Source organism: Homo sapiens, chromosome 6, assembly GCF_000001405.40.
Source record: "Homo sapiens chromosome 6, GRCh38.p14 Primary Assembly".
Taxonomy (NCBI): domain Eukaryota; kingdom Metazoa; phylum Chordata; class Mammalia; order Primates; family Hominidae; genus Homo; species Homo sapiens.
Window position 1 is genome coordinate 79,777,369 of NC_000006.12, and position 8,689 is coordinate 79,786,057.

General features: G+C 43.0%; 1 long non-coding RNA gene across 1 annotated transcript; it reads left to right on the forward strand.

The window, feature by feature from the left end:
* Positions 1-479: 479 nt before the first annotated feature.
* LOC124901349 (uncharacterized) lies at positions 480-4,895 on the forward strand. The gene is made up of 2 exons (XR_007059655.1): positions 480-581; positions 667-4,895. It is a non-coding gene; the product is annotated as an uncharacterized LOC124901349 (long non-coding RNA).
* The last annotated feature ends 3,794 nt before the right edge of the window (positions 4,896-8,689 follow it).

Below are 8,689 nucleotides of genomic sequence, written 5' to 3' on the forward strand. Positions count from 1 at the left end.
CAATTTTATTGGAAAAAAGAAAGAAAACACAGAGAAGTTTCATGAAGAAATAAAGATGACCTAAAAAGCCTACCACCACTTAGAAACAAATGTAGATTGGAGTGGGGGAACATGTTTCCCTATCCTGGCTTCTCAGCAAAGCTGTGGTTGATGGGTAGTGAACTCGCCAGAGAGGCAGTAAGTGGCCCGGTGGTTGCAAGAGGTTGAGGGCAGGAGGGAATGGGGAGTTAGTGTTTCATGGGTTCAGGATTGCAGTTTGGGAAGACAAAAAAGTTCTGGAGACGGACAGTGGCGATGGTTGCACAAAAATGTAAATGTACTTAACGCCACTGAACTTTACACTGTTAAAAATCATTAAAATGGTGAATTCTCTGTTACGGGTATTTTACCATAATTTTTAAAAAGAGGAAAAAGGAAACAAGACTGATCTCAAGGGGTAGCAGTTTCAGTAACATTTTTTTCTTTTTTCTTTTTCTTAGAAAGGGAACTGGCTGACGTTCATGGTGGGGGAGATGGAAGGAACTGGTAGAAACGAGAAACAAAAAACCCAAGAGAGATTTCATTTTTCACTAGGATGCCAGGTATAAAATAGCACATCTCTTTTAATATTCAGAATAGCCGGAGTCTCCATTTCGTTATTACAATAATGTCTTTATCCCTTCCCAGGTTCTCCCCTTCCATTCTCTACCTCTTTGCGATCAAACTGAGCACCCGGGGGTTTCCCAAACCCAGGGTTACCGGATCCTGAGCATGCGCGGAGGAGGGACAGGGAGCCGCCCACGCCGGGCTCCGCGGCTGCAGTTGCTGTTGTGGCCACAAGGTGGCACTAAGTCTTTGGCGGCCGCTGGCCTTCCCGACCGTGGAAAGTCGGGGCCGGTGGGGCTAGGTAGGAAGAGCACACTCCTGTGAGGTTGCCGGGGGCGGGGCTCCACCTGGACCCCTGCTCTAGAGCTGCTGGCGCCATAGGAAGAGAAGATGTTTGGAGTTCTGCCGTCCTGCCTCTTCTGGAGTCCCGCCGTGGCTTACTCCTTTCAGAGCTTTCTGCCCTGTCCTGACAGTGCCCTCTCTTCCTAGGCCTGAGCTCCAGGTACTCAGCGACCCGAACCTTCCAACCTTCGCACCCTCCCCAGCACACTTTCAGAATCTCCACGGCTGGGTCCAAAGGGGCCCTCGCTGGGCTGCACGTACTCTGGCCGCCTTAGCTCTAACTCCTGCCTCTCTAGGGCTTTTCCCTCTAACCCCAGAGTGTGGAAAATCCTCTATTTTTTCGCACAGAAGGCATGGTGCTTCCTTCAGGGGGCGAACCCCACTAGTTTACCAGAAAATGGACCTAGCACCCTCCCTTCTAAAAAAAATAGGAGGGTAGATGACCAGAAGCACAGATGGAAGGGCCAGACTTTGAAAGGAAGGCCCGATACCTCTATTGCTGAGGCAGAGCAAAGGGAGAAAAGGCAGAGCAAAAGTGGGTAGAAATAAAAATGCTTTTCGAGGGAAGGGAACTTAGCAGGCCTGCGGCCAGTTTTCCTCCCTATTTTCATTATGAGATAGATACAAATGTCATATGTGAAAATGAGAAGGAGAATATGAAGGGCAAAGCCCATGTGTGGTGGTAAAGAGAACTGCAGAAGGAGAGGCCAGGTGGCTGAGCCTTGTACGAGGGCCTATGTGTTGTTGGAAACCAATCGTTCACTCATTTATGTATTTGAGAGATATTTATTGAACATCTGCTGTGTGCTGACATTGTTTCAAGAGGTGAGAATACATCAGTGAACAAAATAGAAAAAACTCCTTGCCTTTGGGAAATATTCCAGTATTTCCTAAATACTAGAAGGAGAGGAGGACTGAAGATTGGGAGGACGCAAGATTAATTAGTAAGCAAAATGAAATGCTGGAGGGTGATATGCTGTGTGGAAATAGACACATCAGGATAGGGGATATCAGAAGTTGTGAGGGACTTGTGACTTAGAATTTAAATAAGGTGTTCAGGGAAGCTCTCATTGACCTCAAAGACTTGAAGGAAGCTGGCCACGTTGCTACGGAGGACAAGCAATCTGGTGGAGAGAACAGCCAGCATAAAGGCTATGTAGCAGGAGTGTGGCTGGCATATCCATGTTGCTCCCAGAGTATATGGGATGCTGCAGCAAAAATAGATAAAGCATGAGGTGGTTTGGGTGAGGCTGTGGAAGCATGGGTGTGGCAGAGGGGTAACCAGGGAAGAAAGTGAAGAAAGTGCTGATAATTGTGGTTCAAGGGAGTGATTCTGTGGTCCAGGAGGGCAGACAGAACTGGGAGGTCCTGACAAGGAAGAAAGGAGGCTGAGTAGGAGTTGTGAGAGTGGGGGATGCTGTGTATAAACATTGGGTGTCTCTGGTAGAATTTAAGATGTCATTGGTGGCATAGTTCAAAATGATGATAAAGGCAAGAGTGTGGCCTTGCGAGCAAGTGATTGAAAATGGGAAGTGGGCTAATGCATGGTGCATACCCCAGTCAACCATAGCCACAACTGTGCTCTTCTGCATGGGGGTTCAGCTCCTATTGAGTAATATAGGAAAGGGCTAAGCTGCAATTTCTCTCCTGCATTACCAACAAATGCCCAGTAGAATTCAGCATTCTTCCTCAAGCACTTAGGGATGCATGAACGCCTGCTAGCAAATATTACAGGGCAAACAAAATTGTACCCACACATGATAGGAACCTTACATTCTCTGCCAGCACACTGATATCTCTTATAAGAGGTGGGTGATTTGGTTCTCCTCTAAGATGGTGAAGCCTGTCTGTATTTCTTTAAATCTTGGTGAGAGGCAGCATGGCGGTGTTGAGATCGAAGCCCAAAGAGGTGTAGCAGAATTTGAACAACATGGTTTGTGAGGCAGTAGCCTCCATTTCTCTTCTATCAACTCTTGATTTGAAAGAAGTGTTGTTGGGAGTGGCAAGATGGAGGATGAAAATCTCAACCCAACAGCTGTATGTAGTGAGACTTTAGTCTAGCTTCCCTTATCTGGGAGTGGCTTCTTTACTTCCTTACTGTACGTTCCCGTATCTTTCTCCACTATAATGCTGGCTATATAATGTTTGCTGTCTTGTGGAAGAGAACAGATTATTCGAAGGTAATGATGAAGTGTAAAAGAATGGGATGAGTGAAAGAGAAATGAAGAACAGTGATGCAGTGATGATTCATTCACTCATTTCCTACTACAACAAATATACATATATATATTTGATACCTATTACATATGTATATATCAGGTGTCTACTAGCAACATGGAGTCATGTTCCGGGGATTGGAGATGCATCAGTGAACAAAACAAAATTCCTGCTATTTGAGACCGACCTTGAGGAAAGACAGAAAATACATAAGGGTGCTTTGTTGTAGGAGTTGAGTTGGAGGGATCTGGGAGATGATCAAGGAAAAAGATGTGAGCACAGGGGGCAGTAACATACAACATGCTTTACTGAATGGCTCTTGGATGGGGTTGCATGAAAGAGGATGTCTCTCCTAGTGAGACCATCCAGAGGTTTAGGGCAAGGGGGCCACTGTTTAGAAGGGGAGAAGAGCAAACAGAAAATCAAGAGAGAGGGGGATTAGAAAGGGGGCTTAGAGGATCTAAGTGATGTCACTCAGCAGTACAGCAGAGAGTCTGGGTCAGAGAGCTCAGAAGGGCCACAGTGTTCAGGGCCTTATAAGTACAAGGCCCCATCTGATCAATGAGCAACAGCTGTTGGGTGAGGCCTCATAGGGTACGTAAAGTAGGCAGGCTCCAGATGGCTAAAAATCTGCTTGTTTGTGCTATTTTTTAAATAACTGGATGTGTAAAAATTTGCATTTGGCATCAGCAGGCTTTTGAGCTGACAATTTAACCTGCAGTGAGGAAATAAACAAGGTAGGGTTCAATACACAGAATCAGTCTTTGGTTCATGAACATAACCTAGGTGCTAAGGAGAGGGAGCAGGGTAGGAAGGCAAAGTAGGGCAGGAGAGGGGCTCTGCTTTTGATGCATTGTCTGAAAAGGCCTTCGTTGTAAGAGGACATCTGAGCAGAGACATGCATGAAGAAAGAGATTGAATGCCCTGCATGATACCTGGGAGAAAAAAGTTTCTGGTGCTTTTGTTTTGTTCTGAGGAGCCACTACAAGGCCAATGAGATAAGAGTGGAGTAAGCCAGGTAGACTGTGGTGGGGATGAGGCTATGTTCTGTAGGGCCATGCAGCTGCATACAATAAGGCCTCCATTTTGAGTGATCGGGGCACTGTTGGAAAGAGGAGAGACAGATTACACTTTGGTTTTAAAGGTGCTCCAGAATGCCACAAGAACAGATGTTACCCATGGAAGGAACAGTGGTGGCATGGACAGAGTGGAAAGTGGCGAAGGTGATGAGGAGTCAAACTCTGAAAGCTTTTCAGGAATAGAGCTCACAGAATATGTGAGGAATTGAATGTGAGGTGGGAGAAGAAGGGTGAAGGAGGCAAGGATAACCAGGATGTTTGGCCCACGAGGCCTTTACTGGCTACATTTAAGTGATCATGATATAATGTGGTGGCTATTTGTCCCCACCCAAATCTAATATTGAATTGTAATCCCCAGTGTTGGTGATAGGGCCCGGTGGGAAGTGCTTGGATCATGGGGGAGGATCCCTCATGAATGGCTTGGGCCATCCCCTTGGTGGTAAGTGAACTCCCACTCTGAGTTCATAGGAGATCTGGTGGTTTACAAGTATGTGGCACCTCTTTCCACGTGCTCCCTGTCTTGCTCCTGCCGCTGCCATGTGAGACACCTTCTTCCCTTTCACCTCCCACCATGATTGTAAGCTTCCTGAGGCCTTCCCAGAAGCAGATGACAGCATCATGCCTCCTGTACAGCCTGTAGAACTGCGAGCCAATTAAAACTCCTAGAAATTACCCAGTCTCAGGTATTTCTTTAGATCAGTACAAGAATGGCCTAACACAGATAGGTAATATAGTGCCAGAAGTATGGATTTTATACATTTAGACCTCCAGGGAGGTGTCTGTGGAGGCAGAATCATGTGAACAAATGCACAGACTGTGGAGCAGGTGTGGGAGTTGGAGGCTGGCTCCTCCACTTCATAGCTGTGTGACCTTGGGCACCTTCCTTGACTTCCTATATCTGTAAAATGGAGGAGCAGTAATTTGTGGAGATATGAAGGTGAACAAATTTGTAATGAATGTATAAAGTGCTTAGTACAGTGCCTGGCACATGCTAAGTACCCAGTAGATGTACCTGTACTTATTACGATTGGTGTTCAAGGAGCCTCAGAGATAGGAATGGTTATTGTCAAGGGACAGATGGAGGGACAATTTCAAGTGAAGTGAATGAGCTCATTTTGGTTTTCAAGTACCCCTAAGAAAACATTCTTCTTTGGCAGGACTGGCTACATAAGTTGTGGGGCCCACTGCAAAAAAAAAAAAAAATGCAGAGAGCCTCCTGCTAAAAAAATCTTTCAAAGTAACACCCACAGAGCGTTACACCAAGCACAGGACCATTCAATGCCAACGCCCTGTTCATCAGAGAGTGCTTCAACTCTATCTTCCTCTAAGTAGGTCTCCACTAGGGGCCTCTAGGGGCCTATGACCACCAGTTCTAGACCAGAGTGGAGTCAGTGGCACAATTCTGTCGTGCACTAGCTTCACAGCCTACTGTGTCATCCCACTCTGACTCAGAGGCCTTCTGTTGTGGCTCTTATGACCACTTGAAAAAGTGGCTTCCTTCCCTCTATGATCTCAAATAAAATGAAATCCTTCTAAATATATGTTCTAAGCTAATAGAAAGACAAAAAGAAGTAAATGAAAGCATCATTCCCTTGAGAAGATAATCTGAGGTGTACACACAGGATAGACAGTTATATCTTCCTTACCATTTGGATAGGACCTGATACATTTGAAAATGCTTCCATAAGCAGGAGTCCTGGGAGATACATGATCTTTTAGAGAACACAGAAGTTCAAAATGTTGACATGGTTTTTTTTAAATCGTTGCATTAGTGACATTACCAGAATTGGACACCTCGTCCCCTTGACTTCTGGTTCTGCATTTTTAAACCAGTGTGCAAGTTTGATAGAATCTAGAAGTGATGTCAGTGTCTCAACTAGGGCTCATGTGGAAGATATTAATTTAAAAGTTAACTTTCTTTTGGATAAAGAGGAGTGGAAAGTTGACCTTTATTTTCTTTTGAATGTGAAAGGCAATTCCATAATAGTAAGTTTTGCTGTATTTTTGTCTGTGTAGTATCTTGTTTGAAATGCGGGTGCCTTGAGATATTGCACTGGGGCTCTCTCTCTCTCTCTCTTTCTCTCTCTCTCTCTTTCTCTCTCTCTCTCTTTCTCCCTCCCTACATCCCACCCCCTCTCTCTTTCTCTCTTCCCTTCCTCCTTTCCTTCCTTCTTTCCATACACCCATCCTTCCTTCCTACAAATGCCTAGCATATGCTATGCATGTAAATGTATTCAGTAAGTCATTTTGGGCATGGAGCCATAGTTTTAGCTAGAGATGCTTTTGCCTCCAGGGGACACTTCGCAATGTCTGGACTTATTTTTGGTTGTCACAGTTGGGGAAAAGAAAATGCTAATATCATCTAGAGGGTAGAGACCAAGTATGCTGCTAAACATCTTACAGTGTTCACCATAGCCCTCCATAACAAAAAACTGTATGGCCACAAATGTCAATAGTGCTGAGGTTGAGAAACACTGCTGCAGAGGAAGAGGAGAAAAACAACATGAAATCAACGATCAAGATTCCATATCCCTGATTAAAAACAGACTAGTTAAAAATAATCCCCAGCATCTGTCCATTTTCTGTTTTGGGACATGGTTCAAATTAGAAGGGCCAAATTAGAAATGATCCTCTGCAAAGGGACTGTTGCCGACAGTATCAGAGATGGCAGCAGAGCCACAGCCGAGGGCCACTCATTGCATGAGGTGAGGGAGGAGTGACTGGATGGTACAATGCTGTTTGTTCCTTTCTGTAGGACTGGTTAATTATTTACCTTGAATAAATGAGTTGAATTCATTTCAAATCAAGTCACTTTTTAAGTTGGCATCTTCTCTAGGGAAGCCAAGATAAGGATCATTCTTCTAGGCAGGGCAAGGTAAGGCTCATCCTTTGAGCATCCCTCATTCCACATAGAATAGGGAGTGCTCCTGTTCCTGAAGCTCCCAGGGTATCTTGCCACAGCTAAAGGAAAACATTAGAAAATCAGCTGTTGCAATTTCAAAGTCAGAAAAGGTCACGAGATGTGTACAGCTTTCACGCTTGTTTTGGATTCAGGGATGTTTGTTTCTTCCTGCCTGCTCTGTATAAGTCCGGACACTGCCACCAAGGCAATCCATGGCTTGGGTTCTAGCTTAAGTTCTGAATGAAGAGATCTCATATGTGCACAAATTACAATAATAAGCAGTACAGTAAATTCACTTTTCCTACAAAAAGAAGAAACATAAACATGAATTATTAACAGTAGTATCATGATTAAAGGAATTTACATTTCTGGGCATACAAATAGTAACTAACTCTTCATCATTCTCAACTACTATTTACTGGTGTTTGCAATTAACATTCATTTTATTTGTGTCCAAAGGAAGGGGGGGAAATAGGTGAAGAGAAGAAGAGAAAGGCATAGAAGAGAAAGGAGGGAAAACTTCATGATGACACAGATTCACATGAAAACAATACAAGATGATTTATCCAAGCAGATGTTTCCCTAATGGCTAGTTTTTTTAATTTCTTTGAGATGTACATTCCTATGTAATTATTTTAAGATTAAAGATTTAAATTAAGATGAATATGAAATTAAGATTAAATTACTGGAAGAGGAATGGCTGCATCAACTAATTAGCTCAGTTTGAATTTTGATATATATTTTTAGATTGCCCTCCGTATGTGGTGTCCCAGTTTAAAACCCTATCTGCTGAGAACACAGGAAACTACCTGTTTCTCTATCTATGACAATAACAGTTTTTATCCAACTTTAAAATCTTTGTACTGATTGGTATAAATATTAGGTTGGTGCAAAAGTAACTGCAGTTTTTGCCATTACTTTTAATGGGGAAAACCACAATTACTTTTGTGCCAATTTAATACTAGCTCATATTGTTGCTGTTTGCATATCTTTATTTTCTTCTGATATAACTATTGCCCATACGCATTTCTTCTTTTATGAATTACCTTTTAATGTCCTTTGTCCACTTTTTCCTGTGTTATCTTCTCTGATTTGAAAGTACTCTTCATCTCATAGGGATTGTATTGATTTCTCCTTTTATGTAAGCTTTAATTATTTTTTCCTCAAGCCATAGACTTATTAATGATACTTTAGATGTGCAACAAAGTTGTATTATATATGCACTTGTTCCTATTCCTTTTGCTTTCCTATATGTTATCAATAACCTGTTAGAAAGCATAATGGAATATTGGCTACTTTCTCCCTTATTTGTTCATATATTCATTCCAGAAGTAGATGGCAAGCTTTCTGCGAGTCAAGGAAAATATGAGATACTGGGAATATAATGATGAGCAAAACCGACTATATCCTCACCTTGTGGAGCTTAAAATCCATCCACAGAGCAACCACCACCACCACAATAATAATAACTTAAACAACAGAAAATCATGAGAAAGAAATAAAAATGAAATGTGCAAGATCTTTATAAAGCAAATCCTAACATTCAGCTGTAGTACATAAAGAA